Here is a 23,604-nt window from a genome sequence, read left to right as displayed (position 1 = left end):
TGACTGTCTGTCTGTCTGCCCATCCATCCATCTATCCATCCATCCATCCATCCATCCATCCATGTTCTAAAATAGGTGGCATTAGCCCCATCCTGACAGCTGGGGATTGGGTAATCAGGCAGGTTTAGTTCACTCCCTCTCCACCCCAGCATCTGTAATCCCTTGGTCCCCAAGGCTGCCATTTACCTGTTGAGCAGAGGGGCACAGGTAACACTGGCTTGCATTACTGAAGAACACATTGATGAGCTTCCAGTCAAATTGAAAGTCAAGTTGCTGAATAAAAGGGCAACAGCATGAAAAGGAGATTGTGTTAAGACCTTGAACCAAAATAATGTCTTTGTTTTCATGTCTTTCCATTTCATACACCCATCCCTGAAAAACTCATGTATGAATTTTTTTCAATAGTAGTATATGGCAGGAGTTTAAAGTGGTATAACTGCTCTAGATTGATAAAATATATCCAAAACTTTTTTTTTAATTAAAAGACACACCTTTTGATCTAATTATTTGGATCTAATTATTTCATTTCCCCAAATATAGTTTAAGGAAACAAGGATACGTGAATGATTCAGCTACAATGATGAAGCCTTATGCATAAGAAGGAAAAACTGGAAACAACATAAATGTCCAAAAGAGGGGACTGCTGTGTAAACTGTGGAATACTCATGAGATGAAACACTATGTAGCTTTTAAAATGATGCTGAAAAATGTAATTATCATGGGAACTAATCTGTTGAGAAAATCTGTTTGAGGTTATAAAAAGTATCTCTGGCTGGGTGCAGTGGTTCATGCCTGTAATCCCAGCACTTTGGGAGGCCGAGTTGGGCGGATCACCTGAGGTTGGGAGTTCGAGACCAGCCTGACCAACATGGAGAAACCCCATCTCTATTAAAAATACAAAATTAGCCGGGCATGGTGGCACATGCCTGTAATCCCAGCTACTTGGGAGGCTGAGGCAGGACAATCACTTGAACCCGGGAGGTGGAAGTTGTGATGAAACGAGATCGCACCATTGCACTCCAGCCTGGGCAACAAGAGCGAAACTCTGTCTCAAAAAAACAAAACAAAACAAAACAAAAAACAAAAAACAACATCTTTATCCAGTAACATCCCTGTTTTATAAAATATATAAAGATATATATGCTAGGAAAAAATATGGAAGGTAATGTACACCAAGTTATTAACCATAATTATCTTTGGGTTATTAGGATTAAGGATGGTTTTACTTTTTGCTTATCTGTGTTTTCTGATTTTTTCGGTTATGAACATGCATTTCTTGTGTAACCAGAAAACAAACTTTGCTTTTTAAGAGGCAGCACGATGTAGTTGAGGAACACTGGACTGTGAAGCAGGCACTTTAGATTTGGGCTCTAATTAGCCGTGTGAACTTGCACAGGTCACATGACTTCTGGGAACTTCAGTTTCCTCATCTGGAAAATTACAGGGTTAGACCCAGGATCTCTTCTCTATTTTATAGAATAATCATTATTTCAGAAATTCTGGAATTCTCCTGTTCAAGGAAAACAAACTTTATGGTGTAGCTCCTGCTCTAATCCCTGTCCTTATATGCCTTAGAATGACCTTCACTTCACTTCCTGAACGCTTTAATGCATGCATGGCTGGCTGAAACAGCAGCTTCCCTTGGTTCCAGCAGTCCAGGCTCAGTGCTTAGTTAGATACAGTTTGCTAGCAAGGCTTGCCTTGGTTTGATACTTGCCCATAAGGGCAACACAAAAGATCTAAGGATGCTTATTACAAATTTATATAGGTTATCGAGTAAATAGTATACGAACTGTTAGGAGAGTGGTACCAAGGCACCCAGCATGTATGTGACAGAGGCCTCCACACTCAGAACTAAAATTAATATGGTAATTATTAATAACAGCAATCGCCACTACAATAATATAAAAGCCTGTAGCTTGCATTGTTATGTATTGAGTCTGTGTCAGGCACATCCAATACCTCATTTAATGCTCCCAAAACCCTTTGCTGCAGCTCTTTTATCACCCCATTTCATAAACAGAAAAACTGAGGTTTAGGGAGGTAAGTGCCTTACCCAACATCATACAGCTAATAGATGGAGAATTCAAGATTCAAACTCAAACCAGTCTCACCTGGAACTGAAGCTCTCCACCACCTCCCTGTGGGACAAGTCATTTAGTCCATCTGCTGACTTTCAGCACGACCACAAGGAAAACCATTCTGAAGAGGATGGGTCCTTTTGGCTGAGCATTATCACTCGTCCTGTAATTTCAGCACTTTAGGAGGCCGAGGCGGGCAGATGGCTTGAGCCCAGGAGTTTGAGATCAGCCTGGGCAACATGGCAAAACCCCGTCTCTACCAAAAATATAAAAATTAGCCAGTCTCATAACTGGTCTCAAAATAAATAAATAAATAAATAAAAATAAACAACAACAAAAAAGAATTGGTCCTTTCCTCTAATGACCGCCAGAGAATGGCAGAGACATTTTTTAAAGAACCCAGGTCACACTAGTTGCCGAGTTCATGGTAAAATGGTACGAGGGTCATCATCACTTCGGTCTGCCCGCCTTGCAGCAAAGCCAGGCAGCCCAGCCATGCCAGAGTTGGACGGATGCTTACCAGGTTCTCTTTCATGTTTCTCACCAGTTCTTGAGCCTGAATCCACAAGTCTCTGTGCAGAGGGAGGGAAACAGAGAAAAATTGGCTAAATATTATTTTGTTAAGGGCTGGAAGCTTGCCCCTTGCCATAGCTCAGGTGTCAGTCTCTAAGCTTTATCCACCCCTGGCTTCTGAAGGGTGGGCATTGACCTGTTTTTCAAAATTAGGCTCATCAGGCAGCCTGAAATCAGCTTGAGGGGGCATTTGGGCTTTGACTTAAATACTTCTATTTTTAAGCCTCTTTGACTTTGCCAGCCCCCCAAATCCTCCCACCTATATGTTGAAGACCAGTAGGAACACATAACCTCAGAGAGAGACAGAAAGGGAACTTACTCAGCACCATCGTGGGGTATGACTCTCTTTCCAGTGTGGCACACAGGCATTGGAACAGAAGGACTGAAATATCTGATGATGTCTGAAAGGACTAAAGAGAGAACTGGTTTGAGGCCCTGGCCTTCACCAGCTGAAGGCCACCTCTAAAGACTGACCTACCTACTGCCAGGAGTGGTGGCTCATGCCTATAATCTCAGTACCTTGGGAGGCTGAGGCAGGAGGATCACTTGAGCCCAAGAGTTTGAGACCAGGCAGGGCAACAGAGCAAAACCCTGTCTCTATGAAAACAAAAATCAGCCGGGTGTGGTGGTGCTCACCTGTGGTCATAGCTACTTAGGTGGCTGAGGCAGGAGGATGGCTTGAGCCCAGGAGGTCAAGACTGCAGTGAGCTGTGTTTGTGCCACTGCACTCCAGCCTGGGCAACAGAGCAAGACCCTATTTCAAAAAAAAAAAAAAAAAAAAAAAAGACTGACTCCCTTCCTCTAGGGTGAGCTGCCGGGGTCGCCGCCCCTATTCCAAGGCATGGTCCTTCCTCACACCCTGCCTGGGACTGTGAGGCCACCCCTGTAGCCTCTGTGAGGCTATCTGTACCTCTGGAGCAGGCCTCTGGAAGTGAAGGAGCTAAAAATGAACATCTATAAAATGCTAGGCCAGGCCCAGTCCTAAGCGCTTTACATGCGTTATCTCACTTAATCCTCAGTAACAAACACAGGGCAATATGATCTCCAAGTTAGAGAAAGGGAAAACTGAGACTGAGAAAAATCAAGCGAGCTGCCCAGGGTCTCACAGCTAACTGAGGTTGCTGGGGTTTGAACCAGAGTTCTGGGACACCAAGGCTTTTCACTGTCATGTGCTACTGCCTCATTAGAGAAAGTGATGCTGGGACAGGGACTCGGGCTGCCTTCCAGCCCCCCTCCCTTCTCCTGAGAGTGACAGCAGGGTGGGAAAGCTCCAGGGAACATGCAGAGAACATGTCCCAGAGCTGACAGCCAGAGGACCGCTAAAAATAGTGCTGTCAGGAGCAGTTAAGTTGTGTCTTGCTCCTGAGAGGGAAGAGGGCAGAGCGGGGAGAGAGTGTCATGGGAGGCAGATGCCTCCACTCCTCCCCCCAACTCCCCTTTCTTTTTGCCCCATCCAGAAGTGCCTCGGGGCTTCCTGGGAGCAGAATCCAGAAGGTGGCTTTAAAGGGGCTCCCTGTGAAGGAGGCTGACACTGTGCAGGCAGCAGGCAGGGTGCGGGTGGGAGAGCTGGCCTGGAAGTCAGGGGACTGGTCACTTGGCTTTGCAACCTTGGGCAGCCTCCTAACTCGTGGGTGATTCAATTTTCCCCATCCTTAACCCAAAATAATGAACTTCATTCTCTAACCCCCGATTGGCTTGCAAAGAAACACTTTTCCACCTGTAGTGGGAAAGCGGGGAAAGTTCTGAGCTGGGTTCAGGTTTACAGGGACAGCATGAATGTGTGCATGGGTGAGGGGTACTCTTGCTCCCTCATCTGAGGATAGTCTGTAAGGATCAATGACAAAATACAAATATTTGGTGATAGGTCTGAAAGAGATTGCTTTCTGAATGAAAGGTACCTGTGTCAGTGCTTTGTGATCAAACATGACGTTGGATCTTTTCACGTAAATTTGCCAGTCATTTTGTTTTAAGTCTGCTGTGTACTTGGTCTGTCCTCACTGCCTCCAAGTTCCCTGGCAGCAGTGGGGTGAGAACAAAGGGCACAGCCTGTGGGGCTGGGTTCACAGGGACCATGCCACTTACTGAGCACATAGCCTCAGGAAAGTCCATTTACCTCCCTGACACTCAGCTTTGCCACCCACAAAATGGCCATGGTGGGCGAGGGCATGGCTACGTTTGGAGATCTCAAAGATCAGGAGGCCTCTAAAGTTCTGAGATTGATGGTCAGGTGGGCTGAGCCTGAGCCAGCCCCATCCCATGCTGCACAGCACAGGCCTGGATGTCCCTAGAGTACTTTCTTCTGGGAAGACCTGCTCCTCCTGCTGGCTCAGCCACCCAGCTGAGCTTGCAGCTGTGGTCTCCACTCCTCCCTCCTTCCCCATTGGGTATGCTGGAGTAAGGCCTGCCTCGGAGGGCTTCAGAAGCAAGATCTGCCCTCACACCTGCTTTCTGCGGGACCTCTGGCCAGCTGGGACTCCTGGCCCCTCTGCTTAGAGAGGGGCACTCAGACTTGTAACAGGGCAAATTGGGAGGAAAAATTGAGACGAACTGAGAAATTAGGCAAAGAGGCATCTGCATTTGTGGCTTCAGGGTCTAAACTATATCCTATCTTCCCAGACACCCCCCAAACAAGCCGCTTCTTTTTTCCTACCACTTCAAGACAAACAGGGCCAAGCCTAGGCACAGCTGTGATAGCCACGGAGTTGGTAATGGGCCTCCCCTTTCAGAACCCTTTGATTCTCTCCAAGGGGACCCTCCTGCCTACCGCTTTGGCCACCAACATCCTCTCACCTGTCAATCAGATCCAGGAGGGCTGAACTGCCAGGCTCAACCTTCCCTGCTGGACCATGAGTTCTGTAAGGCAGGGCCAGCATCCTGTTCATCCCTGTGCTTTCCAGGGAACCTAACAATTCATGGGCCCCTCCTTTCAATTCACTGGCTGAATTGACAGGGCACTAGCTGCCTCACTTGTTCATTACTCCCATGGAGCACCAGCTCAGCAGAGCACTTGCATTGTAATCTACGTCTTCTTGCTCTAATACGGACGGCGAAGTGGTTTCCCTTATTCTTGATTTATGAGCACCAAGCATAGGAGACTAACATCCCGCTAGGCTGACCCAGCTGCTGTTAAAGGACTTAACTTCAGGGTGACTTAACAGAATTATAAGGAATCTCTGATATTATATTTTAAAAAAACTAAATTATGATAGTATATTCGCAAGCACATTTGTAAATCAAAAGGCCAAAATGCTAACAATAATTATCTCTAGATAGTGGGATTATAGTTGACTTTTATTTTTTTCATTTCATTTGCCTGAACCCAACTGATGTCTTGTATTTTACAAGCAAGGGCAATATTACAGGATAAAATAGACTGGAAATTCGGCTGGGTCCTCCCCTTGGGTGGGAGGAGTGAACCACGGGCATTTTCCCTGGATGAAGTCTAGCCCTGGGTCTGGGTGGGCAGGAAACTCAGGACTCTGGCCCCGACACCCATTCCAGCTGGCCCCTAAGCCCTCTCCTAGGTTCCCCAATCTTAACCCAATGCCCACTGGCTTCTGTTTGCCCAGAGACCCTGGATACATTTCGCACACCCCCATTCAGGGTTTGTGATTTTTCATATCCTGGCTTCCTGATCTGTCCTCTCAGAACACCGTCCCCTTTCTCCTGGGCTCCAGTGATAAAGTGGCTGGTGGTGTCCATTCTCTTTATTAGAGAGGATGCTGCTGTGTTGGGAAGGAGAGGGGCACTCTGAAATCTGGCCGTGAAAACCACAACTCACCTGTCATCACTCCCATGCACACCTGCTGTGGCCTTTCAGTCCTGCAGGTAGAAGCAGGCATGTGAGTGTCAGGCTGCATTTGTGTCACCTGCCAATAGCCCTTCCCCTTGGCTGTGGTCTATTTCATAGTAGTCTTTGGCCTAGCCTTGCTCTGGTTCTGGGATTATCCTCCCAGGGGTTATAGGCACACCTCAAGTGGCCATGGAGTAGCCAAAATGGGGAAAACAGCTCTCTCTGGACCCTCCTCCGCTCCTCCAACCCGCTCTCATCTGGTCCAAAGCTGCAAGGGGAAACTGACCCCAGGGTAGAATGAGACTGAGCCTGGCCCCAGCCCTGCATGGTTCCCCAAGAGCAGAGCAAGTAGAGCTTGTGGGGAGAAATAAGCACTCCCTCTATTAGCCTTTCCCACTTCTCCTCATTCACCCCAAGGACCCACTGGGGTTCTCAGGCAGAGGAAGGGTTAGACAAGGAGGCAGGAGGCTGGGTTCTGGGAGCTTCTCTGCTACCTTCTCAGAGGGTAGCCTTGAGCAAGGCACTGAGCCTCCCTGGCCTCCAATCTTTCCCATTAATAAGGCAAGAAGATTAGATGGGAGCATCTCCGGGCTCCTTTCTGTTTTCTGTGTTTTCAGGATAGTTACCAGTCTTGCTTCTCCAGATCGCCCGTCCCTGGGTCTGGAGGCTGGAATAGATACTCAATGTTAACACCCAGCCAGGGGAGGTGGCAGAGCCTCTTCTAGTTAGACCGCAAGCTGCCTGTCAGAACTCCCCCTCCTGCCAGTAAGAGGGAACCTACAAGCCCAGGCTTGGTGGCTCACACCTGTAATCCCAGCACTTTGGGAGGCTGAGCACAGGGAGGATCACGTGAGATCAAGAGTTCAAGACCAGCCTGGCCAATATGACGAAACCCCATCTCTACTAAAAAATACAAAAATTAGCCAGGTGTTGTGGCACATGCCCATAATCCCAGCTACTTGGGAGGCTGAGGCAGGAGAATCGCTTGAACCCAGGAGGCAGAGGTTGCAGCAAGCCAAGATGGTGCCACTGCACTCCAGCCTGGGCCATAGAATGAGACACTGTCTCAAAAAAAAAAAAAAAAAAAAAGAGAGAGAGAGAGAGAACCTACAGAGAAAGATGAAGGCTCCTTCTGCAGGGAGGAAAAGTTCTTGGCTTCCTCTGCAGCATGTTTGTCAGACCTTGGAGCGATGGAAGGTGTGGGACGTTTTCCTCCACTTAGATTTCAATGCCCCCTAAAGTCATTAACTTTCTCCATAGAAACAAATGATTGTTTTATTATGACCCTCCAAAATCTAGAATTTATTTAACTCTCCCCCTACTAGACATAAGAGCCATGAAGGCAGGAATGTGTCCATTTTGTACTTAACTATGTTCCTTGGACCTAGAACAGTGCCTGGGTGTGTTGTAAGTATTTAACAAATATATGTTGAATCCATATTTTTGGAACGAACAAGGTAAGTTTCCGATTTCCCCCTTGGTAAAATGCTGGGCAACATAGGACTTGAGCTCTCTGCTGAAGTTCCTAAGTCTAGGACTAGATTTGAGACCGTGGTAACTTGACTGGGAATCACGTCCTTTTGTAAGCTCCCAGAAAGCTTGGAATTGTGCCCAGGACATATAAAATACTTAGCAAATCTTAGCTCTCCTTGGTTGTATTATTTTCAGTTTCTGATGTGAATTTTCTCTCTCAAAATTCCTAGAAGACAGTATCTCCAGGTGTGGTGGTGACAGGCAGACAGCTACACCGCGTCACCTACTCCAGCCTGCACCACTTCCCTTTAAAGGGCCCATCTGTCCTGACCACCCAGCCACAATGAGCACCTGCCTATAGACCTAGGTCACGTCTCTGCAGCTCTCCAGGTAGGACAGGCTGACTGGGAAATCTCACTAATTGGAGACAGCGTCCTTTGCTCCTCAATAAGAGACAGGAGATAAATCTCCCAGGGAGACAAACAAATCACACTAAGATACAAGTCAGGGATTATTTAAAAAGACACCCGACAGGTTAGGTAATGAGGGGAGCAGGCCTCCTGGGGCTGTGGCAAATTGGACAGCCTGGGCCCAAGCAAAGGGGGCACCCCCCAGAGTCATTTTTCAAGAGGAGCTGGAAATGTGAACACTTACTTGAAGTCTGATTTCAGTGTTGGCAGCTGATTCAATTAAAGACAAAGCGTCACTTAGGACCATCAATTTGCTTCTGGTAATTAATTGATAGATCACCCCTCCCCTGCAAATGAACTTGATTGGAGGAGAGGGTGGTAAAGAGAGATGTTGGGAGGAAAGAGGAGAGAATAAGAGGAACAAGGCCAGGAGAGGGGGTTGGGGGAAGGGCTCAGAGGGCAGCCACAGAGAGGGGAGGCTGTGGCTAACCCAGCAAACTCCACGTCCCCATCGTGCCCACTCCCAGCCACTTTCCCTTCACACTCTTTGTTTGCTGAATGTGTGCCTTATGGCAGATACTGTGACCCTGGGGCTGCAAAGCTAAGTAAGACACAGGCTCTACCCTCAAGGAATTTGATAGAGTGAATTGTAACCTCCTTGGCAAGGAAAAATATCTATGACACTGAGTTAGAAAAAAAAAAAAAAAAAAAAAAACCTCGCAGATAAGATATTGCAGTATGACCCTATTTAGGTTTTATATATACACCCTATTTCCCTATGTATTGCTATACATTGGAGAATGAGAATGTATATATGTGTGTGCACGTGTGTATGTTTGTTGAGGTAGAGGAATAAAAGATGTGAACAGGGTCTTCTATTGTGCGTACATCTGTTTTTTCTTATATTGAACATGTGTCACAAGTGTTATTTGCAGAACTTCTACAAACATTTACATAACTGATTTTTGAAGTTCTACAAGGAAAAGGGGGTCTATAGCAATTAACAAATGCTAGTTGTAGTTCCAAAGAAGTGCGTATACCTAGGTTACAGAATGCTCCAGGCACTCAAGGCAGAGATGTCAGCACTATGGACTTTTTTCTTCTTAAATTCACTGTCTTCCATTATTTTGCCCTGGTCTAGCTTTTAAAATACACACCCCAGGTAAGTTCATGATGGCCCTCTCTCTCTTAGGACAGACAGCGGAAGAAGGCTTGCAAGGAATTGTGCTTTCAGGTTTTTATCCTGAAGTTCGAGGTACCCGTCAGTGCACAGACAATGATCCTGGGGCTGGGAGGTCATCCTGATGGAGTCGTGTTCCTGAGAAGGGGGGGCCGAGTGACAGCAGGAGCTGTCAGCCCTGAATAATTCATGGACAAAGAGCTCTTTCCGAGATGAGACCAAGGAGTGCAAGTCACTGACGGGCTTAAAGTTAGAGACCAACGCTGGGCGGAGATTTCCCTGCCCCAGGCAGAAGGACCCGAGAGTCCTGTGGCAAGTGTGTCCCACATCCTGGGCTCTGGGATGTAAATATCGGTGTGCACAGACACACAGGTGTAGCAAAGTCAGCCTGCTATCTGGGACATGAAACCTCTTTTCTCACTTATTTCCATCCAATTTCACCTCTTATCAAGGGTAACCCTCCACCCCCACCCTGACCAACACCACAGTCACAAGTGCAATTTAAAAACCATCAGCATCGATAAGAGAGAATGCGGGTGGGGAGCTCTGCCTGCTTTCAGTGGGCCTACAGTTGGTTTCCTAAGGTTCAGTCTATACCTCTACACACCACCATCTCCTCACCCTTCTTTCTGTTATACCCATTTCCCTCATTTACAATTGTGATCAGGGTGAAGTTCTAGGTCTGGCCAGCTTCATCCAGTGCTCAAGCAGAGGTGGCATTGATAAATGTGGTGAGGCTAACACTGTCTAGGGCAGGGAGTCCAAGCCAAGTTCCAGAGAGGTAGAAACTGGTTATTTGAGATGAGGAGAAGGTAGAAGACAGGTCCAAGGTCTCTGGGGACATTGAGTGGACTGGCACTGTGCATGGAGTGGTGGGCTGGGGCTTGCAGCTACAAGGGGAAGGGGCTGAGGTTGCAGGGAGTGCAGGCTGCTGCAGGGATGGGGGAGGATGCTGGGAAGGAATCATGGGAGGCGGAGTGGGGAGGGAGGCTCTGGGGGAGAAAGAGTATCCTGGTTCAGGCGTGGGAGGTACAGTAGGGCTCTGAGCAGGGTGGAGACTGATAAGGAAGTGTTCTATCCAGCTGGGGCTGCTGAGATCGGGGGCAGCAAGGCTGTGGAGCTTTGCTAAGACCAGGAGAGGGGCTGTGGGGAAATGCTGACATTCTCCTTTGCTCTCCTACCTTCTTCTATCCAGATCCCTCTTTCTCTGTTCATCCCTTTCTCCTTTTGTCTTTTTCTTTCTTTCTCCCTTATTTGACCAAATAAAATATACCACTTAGAATTTATTAACAACAAGTGCATGAAAAGATGTTCAACATACTAATCATCAGGGAAATGCAAATCAAAACCACCATGAGACATCACCTCATACCCATTAGGATGCCTACTATTAAAAACCAACCAACCACAACCAACCAACCCCAGAAAACAGGCATTGGTGAGGATGTGGAGAAATTAGAACCCTTGTGCACTGTTGGTGGGAATATAAAATAGTGCAGTCACTATGGAAAATAGTGTGGTGATTTCTCAAAGAGTTTTAAAAATAGAATTACTATATGGTCCAGCAATCCCACGTCTGGGTGTATATATCCAAAAGAAATGAAAGCAGGGACTTGAACAGATATTTGTACACCCAAGTTCATAGCAGCATTGTTTGCAACAGCCAAGAGGTGGAGGCAACCCAAGTGTCCACTGACGGGTGAATGAATAAATGAAATCTGATCTAGATATACAAGGAAAGAGCATTCATCCTTAAGAAAGGAAGGGAAATCTGGCATATGGATGAACCCTGAGGACATTATGCTAAGTGAAGCCAGTCACAAAAAGACAAATACTGTATGATTTCACTTATATGAAACATTAAGTGTATGATTTCTTTTTTGTTTTGTTTTTTTAAGACAGAGTTTTGCTCTTGTTTCCCAGGCCGGAGTGCAATGGCATGATCTCAGCTCACTGCAACTTCTGCCTCCTGGGTTCAAGCGATTCTCCTGCCTCAGCCTCCCAAGTAGCTGGGATTACAGGTGCCCACGACCATGCCCGGCTAATTTTTTTCTATTTTTAGTAAAGATGGGGTTTCACCATGTTGGACAGGCTGGTCCCAAACTCCTGACCTCAAGTGATCTGCCCACCTCAGCCTCCCAAAATGCTGGGATTACAGGTGTGAGCCACCACACCTGGCCAATTTCACTTATATGAGGTACCTAGAACTGCCAAAACAGAGAGGGAAAGTAGAATGGTAGTTGCCAGGGGCTGTGAGAAGAGGAGAATGAGATGTTATTTCATGGGTAGAGTGTTTCAGTTTTGCTAAATGAAAAAGTTCTGGAGATCAGTTGCACAATAACGTGAATATATTTAACACTAGTGAACTATACACTTACAGATGGTAAATTTGTGTTCTATGTATTTACCACAATTGCAAACAAAATTTAAAAAGTTATTTACAAAGATCGGTGTGTTTTTAAAAATTTACAAATCAGGTAAGAAAATTTATCTTAAAAAATTTAAAAGATTACTTTTAAAATTCTGTGTGATCTTTGATTTAATGTATTAATGGATTTAATTTATTAATGGGAAACCCCAAAAGTTTCCTCACCTTGATGTAAAGAGAGGCATTCATTTGATTTAAAAAAAAAAAAAAGATTCGGCTGGGCGCAGTGGCTCACGCCTGTAATCCCAGCACTTTGGGGGGCCAAGGCGGGCAGATTACCTGAGGTCAGGAGTTCGAGACTAGCCTGACCAACATGGAGAAACTCTGTCTCTACTAAAAATACAAAACTAGCCAGGCATGGTGGCGCATGCCTGTAATCCCAGCTACTCGGGAGGCTGAGGCAGGAGAATCACTTGAACCCGGGAAACGGAGGTTGTGGTCAGCCAAGGTTGCGCCATTACACTCCAGCCCGGGTGACAGAGTGAGACTGTCTCAAAAATAAATAAATAAATAAATAATAAAATAAAATAAAAATAAAAAGATTCAACCTCCTGGATTTATCTAGTTCACATGATGTTCTCTCCCAAAATGAAACGTTCTGCCCAGTTACCAGGAGCCCATTCAGAGGATCATCAGTACCAAACTCTGTCTCCTGCCCCAAGCTACTTCAAATACTCACAATTTCCAGATTGCCAATGGCTGCCACAAATTTAATATCAGAAGGCTTCAGAGAGTGAACTGTGGAGACAAGAACCCATATAGGAAGGTCAGATCTACATTCCCCATGATGTCGGCCAAGGATACCGTATGGGAGAGGAGACTCACATTCCCCAGCCCCTGGACAGCTGCGGAGGTCCAGTCTGTTGGCCATGGAAGTGGAATGCCAAAGACCAGGCAGTGCCTGGGAACCCTAGGAATCCTGCCAGAAAGACACCCGCTCCCCTCTGGGAGCCACACTGTTAACTGGACTTGAGCTGTCCAAACAGGTGACCCATGGAAGGTCACTCATGGCCTTCATTTTCCCCTCACCTGGACCCCATTCTGCCTCTCACTTCCTTCTGTCCCACAGTCCTGCATTTCTGGGCCACCACGAATGAGAGGACAACACATTAAGAATAAAACCACCTGGTTACCAAAAGGATCACTTTAGCTTGAAGATTGCCAGAGAATAGCATTCAAAGCCTGTGAACACATATCCACACCAGATGCAAGCTGTATGCAAATGCCACACAAGGAAGTGGAAATCTCCTGGACCCACTTGAGTGATTGGCATCTTTAGCAATGAAGTCTCCCTAGAAATCACTGATCATACTCCCTGGTCACGTTATAGATCATTTACATGTAAGCCACCTAAAGAAGACATTTCCTTAAAAGTGCATCAATTTCTTTTTCAACCTAAAGTCCTTATATAACAGTAAGAATAGCATGCTTAACTGGAAACCCCAGTCAAGGCAGAATAGTACAAACATAAATCTATTAAATATGGTCTGGTCTGTAATGCAGCCTCTCAATATGATAAAGTCAGGGAAGAAGGCCCACTCAAGAGAATTCATAGCATCCAGGTCATTAGACAAACCCAGCCCATTGTGGGGAAAAAGGTCCAGAGCTGCCATTGTACTACATTACAAGAATAGGGAAGCCCCATGAATGGCCAAGCTCTAACTCACAGTTCCCACAACACCATCCACCCACAGGAAGGCAAGATCCTGGAGATTACCCTCATCCAAGCAAGCCACTGTGGAAATATGACAGATGACTGGGAAATCATCTGTCACACTGAGGGACTGAGGATAAGGAAGAGGAGGACTTGAAGGGGCAACAGGTCCAAGAAGAATAGGGTTAGAGCCTCTGCTGGCCACTTCAGAGAGAAAACGCCAGGCTTTTCCTGCTCATGGCCAAGGGTTACATACCTGATTTAGAAGGCATATTCACTCCTAATTTATTTGGGTTGCATGGGAATGGAGAATTCTTCAGGGTCTGCAATTGAAAACGAACATCAGAAACATCAACTGCCTTGTATAGAAATATTGCAGGTCCTGAAAACTTGGTGTAGAAATGATCATGTACTCATTCTATCTAGGCTCAAAATCTAGAAACAACAATTGCCCATAGTCATTTTCTCCTAACCCCATACCCAGTTCATCTGGTAAAAGCGTACATAAGTCTATTGACAATGACTTTAACAGGTGGCAAGAATGCCTCAGAACAGTGGAGTAGAGAGGGAAGAAAGATGAAGAAGAATGAGAAAGTTCTAGAAATGGGGCTGGGCACGGTGGCTCATGCCTATAATCCCAACAGTTTGGCAGGCTGACGTAGGAGGATCACTTGAGATCAGGAGTTTGAGACCAGCCTGGCTAACATGGCGAAATTTTGTCTCTACTAAAAATACGAAATACAAAAATACAGAAATTAGTGGTGGCGTGTGCCTGTAATCCCAGTTACTTGGGAGGCTGAGGCACGAGAATCACTTGAACCGGGAGGCGAAGGCTGCCATGAGCTGAGATCATGCCACTGCCCTGCAGCCTGGGCAACAAACACAGCAAGACTCTGTCTCAAAAAAAAAAAAAAAAAAGAGAAAGTTCTAGAAAGGGATGGCAGTGATGGTTGCACAGTAATGTAAAGTACTTAATGCTACTGAATTGTGCACTCAAACATGGTTAAAATGATAACTTTTGTATATATTTTACTAGTGAAAAGAAGTAATTAAGACTCAGGAAAAGAAGTAATTAAGACTCAAGATACCTTGACTAAAACAAGAAAAAATAATCAATCCCGTTTTATATTTATTTTATATTCCATGCTATATTTACCTACTTACCATCTTTTAATTTGATAACTTATACAAAATTAAGTATATGAGGCATTATGTTTATTTGTTGCCAAAAACTGGGTACACTTGAAACTGGGAGACTCTCATGTCCCTACCAGAGTGTCCTGAGCCTGGAGGAAGGAATTGGTGACCAGTACTCAGGTCCTCAAGACCACTTGGACCTCCTCAGCTGCTGGTACTGGGTCCGGGGCAGCTTCTGCTTTTGTGAATACCATGGAAGGCTCTGGGAAGTGAGATTGTGTCTTTTCCCCCAAAAATTGAGAGTGGAAGCGGGGGAATACTCCAATAGGGAAAAACATGCAGTAAATGAGGTGATTGAGGACATCTCACTTCACAAGAAAACACAGTTTCTCTTGAAGTACTGATTACGGTAAGAAACCACAGCATTTACTCTCAGCTCTTATCTTATGGATGTTCTGGGAAGACCTCACCCAGATTCCTTCAGATAACTCCCAACATCTGCTTCAAGGTTCATGGAGATAACAAGCCCATTTATAACTCCTTCTGGACACTTCTGGGAACCGCCCATTCAGTCTGCAGGGATGATGAGCTCCAAATTCCAGGACACACACTCTGCCGGACACCCCGGCTGTCCATGGGGGAAGCGGTTCATCCAGCCCATTCCCTCAAGGCCTCAGGAAGGGGCCTGTCAACTTGCACCAAAACTTGGGTTTACCCACTACAAGGAAAATCCTCCCTCTCCCCTCCATACACACGCACCTCCCACCAGCCAAAGCCCTTACCTCTGGCCATAGCTGCCCTTCCAATGTACTCTTTCTAGGAGAGGTATGGATCTGAGGGGTCCCTGAAAGAAAGCAGAAATAGTTCAAGTTATTTAGCTGGAATTAACTCCCACCCAAATTTGTAGCTTTCATGCCCTTCCTCCTAGCCATATCTGTGTGCCCAGCTCAGTAATGTCCACTGTGTTAGGGAAGCCCAGATTCTATTTGTCCAGCTATCCCCTCCATTGTGTGGGACACCGTGCTTCCATTAACACAACCCATTAGGGCAGAATCCCCAGGTGAAAAAGCAAAAGTGTTATCTGGGAGGGGTCAGCAATAACATTATATCATGCACAAGCACATTATCACAGATTGCTTTTTGGGCTCCTTGGCAAAGGGCAGAACCCACAAAGAAGGTAATGTCAGACAAACAGTTACTGTTGTTGCAGATCCAAGACAAAGCAGGGAAGGCAAAGGACATTATAAAATAGTTTGAAGGGTAATGTGATCTTAGGAGAAGAGCTAATCACAGGATTCCTAGCAGCCATGACTGTACTAAGTACCTGGACAGGGGCTGTATCGAGGGGTCTTGCTGAACGTGAGGAGTAAGGGGAAGAAAAGGCAGGTAGGGAGATGGCAAAGCCACTGTCCTTGTCCCAGCTTACTTTTGGTCAGTCTTTAAAAACATTTATTATTTTTTACTTTTTAAAAGTGTAATTGACTTACAATAAATTAAATTCATTTTAAGTGTACACGTAGATAAGTTTTCCCATGTTTTTTATCTACACAAATTATAGTATTTTTAAATTAACAGCACCCTAAATTTAAAAAGCGGAAAAAAACACCCACAATGCTATGCCTCTTACAATCAAAAGTGATTTTGTTTGTTCATTTTTTCATGACCATAGTCAGGCACATGTTTTATTCAGTTATAATCTGTGTGCATGCAAATTTGTATCCTGCAAACTTCCTTTGACGTATCATGAGCATTTTAAATGTTGTTACATAATTTTGATGCTTATTTCAATAGCTACACAATACATTAATGATACTGAGATTTAATCAGAGGTCAGGGTACCTTACTTCCTCTGACTTCTCCCCACCCAATGCCTGCCCAGGGTACATCTTCCTTATAAGCGCATGCGATACAAGAACCCCCAAACAACATTAGCAATGCCAAAAGGAAGCCTGACTTGGGCAACAGGGATTGATTTCTTTTCCACCACAGCCTTCTTCTGCAGCTTTACTTTTTGACCCTGAAAATAATTTATTAGAGTTTCATGAAGAACAACAGTATATGTCCATTTTATGCCCACTGTGAGATCAGGCACTGATTTCCACATTAGAGCTTGCACAAGGAATGATGACTGGAATCCGCCTCCAGATCGCAGCGATTCCTTTGAAATTCCCAGAAGCAAGCTTTCTGGGCAGAAAGGGCCACATGACGGGAAGGCATAGAAGTGTGGACAAGCACAAAGTGCTGGAAAAGGCTGGCATAGGTGTTTGTAACTGGAGGCCAGGGAAGTGGTGGGCAGGGGGGATGAGGCTGCACAGACAGATGGTAGCTGGGCTGGGGAGCCACAAATGCCAGGCTAGTCCATGAGCAACAGGGAGCTGTGACCAGTCTCTGAAGAGATGATTTTAAGGTGATCATCACTCCAGGGGGAGTGGAATAGAGGAGTTAGCAGGGCAGAGATTTGAGACTATTTTGGTAATTTTCTTTCTAAGCCAGGATAAAAATGTAAATGGTAGCCAACACAAATACAGCTTCTATGTGCCAGGCACTGTTCTAAGCACTTATGTGAACTAATTCATTTAATCCTCATGACAACTTTATGAGATAAATATCATCATCCCCACTTTACAGACAGAAAACTGAGGCCCCAAAAGGTTAAATGGCCTTTTAAAGGTGGCAAGGCATGGTGGCTCATGCCTGTAATCCCAGCACTTTGGGAAGTGGAAATGGAATGACTGCTTGATCTCAGGAATTTGAGACCAGCCTGGGCAACATAATGAGAACCCATCTCTAAAAAAATAAAAAAATAAAATAAAAATAGAAAAAGATGACATTGCTAGCAAATGGTGATGGTGGGCTTTGAAAACAGGCAGTCTGGCTCATCTGACTCCATGAGCCATGCTTGTAATCAAGAAGCTAAGTGTAAGCCACATGCCCAAGGTCTAGACCAGGGCCAGCAGACTTTTTCTATATAGGGCCAGAAAGTCAATATTTTAGATTTTACTCACCATATGGTCTCTATTGAAACTACTCAACTCTGCTGCTGTAGTATGAAAGCAGCCATGGACAACATGTAAACAAATTAAATTTATTTATAGTGACTGAAGTTTGAATTCCATATAATTTTCATGCATCACAAAATATTCTTTTTATTTTTTGGAACCATTAAAAGACGTAGAAACCTTTGTGGATATCAAGAAACTGATTCTAAAATTTATATTAAGAGGCAAACGACCTAGAAGAGCCAACACAATATTGAAGAAGAACAAAGTTAGAAGACTGATACTATCTGACTCCAGGATTGAAGATAAAGCTACTGTGATCAAGACAGTGTGACTGGCAAAAGAATAACCAACTAGATCAATGAGACAGAATACAGAGCCCAGAAATAAACCCACTTAAATAGAGTCAACAGATCTTTGACTAAGGAGCAAAGGCAATATTACAGAGAAGAGACAGTCTTTTCAACAAATGATGCTGGAACAACAATTTTTTAATTAAAAGAAAATCACTCCTCAAAAGCTTTTGGACCCCTTCTTTAAATAGTAGCATTCTAAAACAAATTTTATGACAGCTAATATACTCAGCACTCTACTATTAAGTTTTAAAAAATGAATTAAATAAGCAGAAGATCTAACCCAGTGCCTGTACAAAGTATATGTTGAAATACATTAATTATGATGAAAGATGCTCTCATTTGATTATCAAAACAATCCAGGGAAATAGATGGCATTATTAGTATAATTTTATAGCAGCAAGAGTTTTAAATGTTGTTTAGAGGGTTGGGGCTGGGTCCAGAGTTTACTGCTGACTCCGGAATTCAAAGGTTTTAATAGGGCTCAAAAGAGGATGTTTCTGAAGACAACAGGTGGAGCCCCACATCTTTTCCTAAAACTGTAATGGAATCTTCTAGGTCTTTTATTTTTTCTGCTGCACTCCCGCATTCTGTTAGGCACTCCCACACTCTCTGTGTGGTGTGTATGTGTGTGTGCCTGCGTGCAAGTGTCTGTTCAAAATTATAAAAGTAGCAAGAATTTGAGAAGTCAGGACCCCAAAGAGAAAATAAGTACAGAGAGTGGGCTCAGCATTTGATACCAGTTTTATCCTTGAAGCATTTGTCAAATCATGAGCAACAGAAATCAGCAGCCAAGAGGCTAAGACACTGAGCAGAGCTTCAGGCAGTTCAATGGAACTGGGGGAAAACACTGAGTTTGGCACCCATTGAGGAGGGGGGACCCTGATGAATATCCCAGGCTTTCAAGTGGGACTTAAAACAGACCTTTGGAGTAGGGATAAACTAGAAATGCGCTGATCTGTAAAAAGTCTAAAGACCAGACTTGAATAAGTTTGATTCCTGATTAGATAAAAGTGATCTGTTCCTCCCTAACTGCCTGCCAAAAGCAAAAGGAAAACCTATATGGATGAAAATACTACCAGCCAGAGCATGAAAATTATCTTTTATATACAATGCCTGGCTTTCCATTAAAAAATTACCAGGAGACAACATTAAATAAACCATAGTCAAGAGAAAATTTAAAAACACAACAGACAACAGATTAGTGAAAAGCAGTGGACTAATATGGAAATAAATGAAGGAAATCCATAATCTTTCCAGCTCATGTTTTGTACCCAGTTACAGCAAGAGGTGGTCCAATCAGAAATTTAATGGGGCAATCTAGGAAATAAGAAGTACTGAGATATGCTCCTCACATATTCCCTGAGTAACTGGAAATTGATGTATGTGCCAGAAAGACTGAAAGAGCCACATGTAAATCTAAAACCAAGAGAGACTTAAGAATTGGCTACAACTTCGTGCTCATTCCCTAACCTGCATACACAGCAAGCAACAGAACATTATGGTCTCAAGGTGTTTGAGCACAACCTCTGTGCAAATCATTGACTGACCACTAAACCATGCAGACTCAAGGGTGACTCCTAGGATGCCAGGCCAACAAAAAAAAAAAAAGAAGAAAGAAAAAAAAACTGAGCAAAGACATCAGTGGTTAGCTGCACACAATTAGAGAGACAGATTTCACAGTTTAAGTCCAGGCAAGTTATTAAAAAACAAATTGACGACCCTCAGAAAAATAAAAACAGAATCCAGAATTGCTATGTTTGATCAAACATGTCTAGTCTTCAAACAAAAGTTACCAGGCATGGCTTGACATGAAACACCAGTCCCAGATGAAGAAAAAAGGCAATCAATGGAAACTAAGTTGACACAGATGTTGGATTTCACAGGCAAAGTCTTCAAAGCAGCTATTATATGTATTTGAAGAATTAAATACAGCCATGAAGACAATGACAACAAATAGAAGTGATATAAAATGGAAATTCTGGAGTTGAGAAGTACACTAACTGAAATGAAAGATTCACTAGGTGGGCTCAGTAGCAGGCTTGAGATAACAGAATAAAAGATCAGTAAACTTAAAGATAGTAAGTATATTTCTAAAAAATACAGAGGAAAAAAGATTGAAGAATAACAACCTAAGAGATCTGTGGACAGTGTCAAACATAAAAACATACATGTAATATGAGCCCCAGAAGAAGAAGAGAGAGAGAGATGGGTGGGGGGAGGGCAGGAAATGATTTAAAGATAAAATGGCTAGGCTGAGGTGGGTGGATCACCTGAGGTAAGGAGTTTGAGACCAGCCTGGCCAACATGGTGAAACCTCATCTCTACTAAAAAAAAAAAAAAAAAAGTTAGCCAGGCACGGTGGTAGGTGCCTGTAATCCCAGCTACTTGGAAGGCTGAAGCAGGAGAATTACTTGAACCCAGGAGGCAGAGATTGCAGTGAGCCAAGATCATGCCATTGCACTCCAGCCTGAGCAACAGAGCAAAACTCCATCTCAAAAAAAAAAAAAAGATAAAATGGCTGAAAACTTCCCAAACCTCCCACATTTGATGAAAAATATCAAACCACAGATTCAACAAGCTGAAAGAACGTTAAGTAGGATAAGCACAGAGAATCTTACTTAGACACATCAACTATAATAGTCTATGTATCTAGGTGTAGTTCTAAAACCAAAGAAAAATTTTGAAAGCAGCAGGAGTAAAACTCTTCGAGTACAGGAGACCAATATTAAGATCAGCCTGACTTCTCAACAGCAACAATGGAAGGCAAAAGGCAGTGGAAAAGGAAAATGATCCCAGTTGGGACGTTGGTGATGTAAAAAGGAATGAAGTACAGAAAGAATAAATATGTAGGTAAACCTAAAATAATATTTACTGTACAAACTGGAGACCAGCCAACTATGACCCATAAGTCAAATCTGCCCACAGCCTATTTTTATATGTCCCTCTAGACAAGAATCATTCTTAAATTTTTAAAGTGTCATTAGAAAAAAAAACACAAAGAATGTGATAGAAAATATATGTGACTCATAAAATCTCAAATATTTACAACCTTTTCAGAAAAAGTTTGCCAACCCTAATATAAATAAAAATAATATATTTTGGAGTTTAAAAGACATGAAACAAATTGCTTTGTGGGCAGATTTGGATGGAATAAATGGAGTTAAACTGTTATAAGATTTTCCCCTTATCAAGTGGTAAAAGTACTGATTTATATTAGACTTTAATAAGTCAAGGGTGCATGTTATCACTTTAAACACCAAAATAATGATAAAAATTGTATAATCCACAAGCTAGTGTTGGGCAGGATGAGGTGGTGAAACCTAAACAATAAAAATACTTAATCCTAAAGGAGGCAAGATATCAGGTGAAGGCCAGGCACAGTGGCTCATGCTTGTAATCTCAATGCTTTGAGAGACCGAGGTGGAAGGATTACTCCAGCCCAGGAATTCAAGACCAGCCTAAGCAACATGGTGAAACCCTGTCTCTACAAAACACACACACACACACACACACACACAATTATCTGAGTGTGGTGGTGCATGCCTATAGTCCCAGCTACTCAGGAGGATCACTTGAGCCCAGGAGTTTGAGGTTTCAGTGAGCCGTGATCACATCATTGCACTCCAGCCTGGGTGGTAAAGTGAGACTCCATCTCAAAAAAAAAAAAAAAAGAGAGAGAAAAAGAAAAAAGAAAAAACAATCAGGAGTAAAGAACACAAAAAAGGTAGGGTGAATTGAAACATAGATATTTTATTTAAACAGAAGCTGAGGAGGGTGTATGAGAACTTCCTTCAGGATCTGATAGGTTGGATGCCAAGTGGGCTGGCCTTGCTCCATGTGGCTCTCAAACCAGGACTAGACCAGTGGAAGCAAGCTGCCCCTTGGCAGAATAGCTGGAGCTACCCAAACAAGAATGGGCTGCCAGGGCACTGGTCCAAGCAGAGAGTGGTGATCGTGAACATGTGGCACATACAGCAAGCAGAGGTTAAGAGCTTGGAAATCCTTAGTCTGATCAACTTCTCCAAGCCTTACTTTCCTCACCTATAAGGTGAGGTTGATAATACCTGCCCCATGGAGTTGCGTGAGGATTAAATGCATGTAAACATCCAGCACAGTGTCTGACTCATGGAAAGAACTCAGTAATTGTTAGTTATAATTTCAGCATAGACCATCTTTTAGATCCTTTCAGCCTCAATATTCTGGGATTTCTTCACATAACTAAATGCTCAGGAGTTCATGTTTTTACCTTGATGATGTGAGTCATCCATGATAACTGCTCTGGGGTGTCACAATAAAGCGTTCCTGGGATCTAAATGTTAAGCGTCCAGACCTGAAGATTCAAAGGGAAACTTGGTGCCTCTCACTTCTGGCCCCACTAACCCTTGGAGCGACATGGGCCGTCAATCTACTTCTCTGCTTTCACCAGGTACAGTGCCTGTTCCCACAGTACCCCAAGGTGCTGTGGAAGAAATTATTGAAGCACTGTGGCATCATCAAACCCCAATCATGGAATCCCAAGGGAACTCTCCCCTTTTGAAAGGTTGTTTTGACATCAAGCCCATGGATATATGAAGGGCTTTGAACTCTCTGAAAAATTCCCACCAGAGTCAGGGCAGTCAGGGGAAAAAAACAAGCACTTTTCTATCCTGATGGGAATGCAAGAAAAAAAACACTTGTGTATGCTCTGAGAAACAGGTTTGGCCGAGATCAGTCATCCAAGTTGGACAGGGCTGTGACCACTGGGGTCTGGAACCAACAAAGCACCATGGAGACATCAGGCTTTGACAAGGTAAAACCACATGTGCTTCTCCCTTAGGGGTTTACCTTCTAAAGCAGTGGCTCTCAGCCCATCACCTGCTACCTAGCCCCCAAATGCAGAGACTCAGATTTGACTGGCCTGGTGGGGCATGGGTATGCTGGGCACCAGAGTTTTTAAAAGCCCCTCCAGTAATGTTCACGTGCTTCCAAGGTTAAGAGCCTGACTCTACAAGGAAACCCAATGTGTGTTAGTCCAACAGCTGGCCACATACGGGTGGGGTGATTTCAAAAGCAAAATTAAAGCAGGGCATGCTCTCTTAATTTATGGATTTCCTTGATGTTCGTATACTTATGATGTGTCTGGAGTGCAATTTTCTAGCCCCTGTCCCTTCCTTGAGGGAATACAGCCATTTCATGACCTTGATTAAGCATCTAATCTATCTGAACATTGACTTCCTCATCTATAAAATGCAAATAGGACTAGCTTCCCTGTCTTCTTCATGAGGTCGTTATGAGGATCAAAGAACTGGAAAGGGTTGTGTAAGTGAGAGAGGGCCATACACAGGGAAGAGGTGACTTGTCTCCCTGGATGAAAGGAAGAAGCATCTCCTAGGCATCAGGGAGGACTTTCAAGGCCAACTCATGTGGCACTGAGGTCACTCTTCAGTGCACATTAAATTCTTGGGCTCTTTGAAAAGTTGTAATGCTCTCACTGTGACCTTAGGGGCAGGGTTTATGACCCTTTTGGCATTTTTACAGGCT

General features: G+C 44.1%; 1 protein-coding gene across 2 annotated transcripts in view; it reads right to left on the bottom strand.

Moving 5' to 3' along the window:
- The window catches only part of PLB1 (phospholipase B1), a 148,083-nt gene that overhangs the window by 111,762 nt on the left and 12,717 nt on the right, over nt 1-23,604 (bottom strand). For both annotated transcript variants that reach the window (NM_001170585.2, NM_153021.5), the window contains exons 2-9: nt 15,512-15,573; nt 13,849-13,915; nt 12,618-12,676; nt 7,074-7,114; nt 6,436-6,476; nt 2,974-3,064; nt 2,602-2,653; nt 187-273 (exon numbers count right to left, since the gene is read on the bottom strand). In NM_001170585.2, coding sequence (NP_001164056.1) covers nt 187-273; nt 2,602-2,653; nt 2,974-3,064; nt 6,436-6,476; nt 7,074-7,114; nt 12,618-12,676; nt 13,849-13,915; nt 15,512-15,573 — 500 coding nt within the window. The remainder of the gene's footprint in view (nt 1-186; nt 274-2,601; nt 2,654-2,973; nt 3,065-6,435; nt 6,477-7,073; nt 7,115-12,617; nt 12,677-13,848; nt 13,916-15,511; nt 15,574-23,604) is intronic.

Source organism: Homo sapiens, chromosome 2, assembly GCF_000001405.40.
Source record: "Homo sapiens chromosome 2, GRCh38.p14 Primary Assembly".
In the NCBI taxonomy this organism is placed as follows: domain Eukaryota; kingdom Metazoa; phylum Chordata; class Mammalia; order Primates; family Hominidae; genus Homo; species Homo sapiens.
The sequence above is the reverse complement of the archived record's forward strand: the minus strand, read 5'-3'. Positions and strand labels throughout refer to the sequence as shown.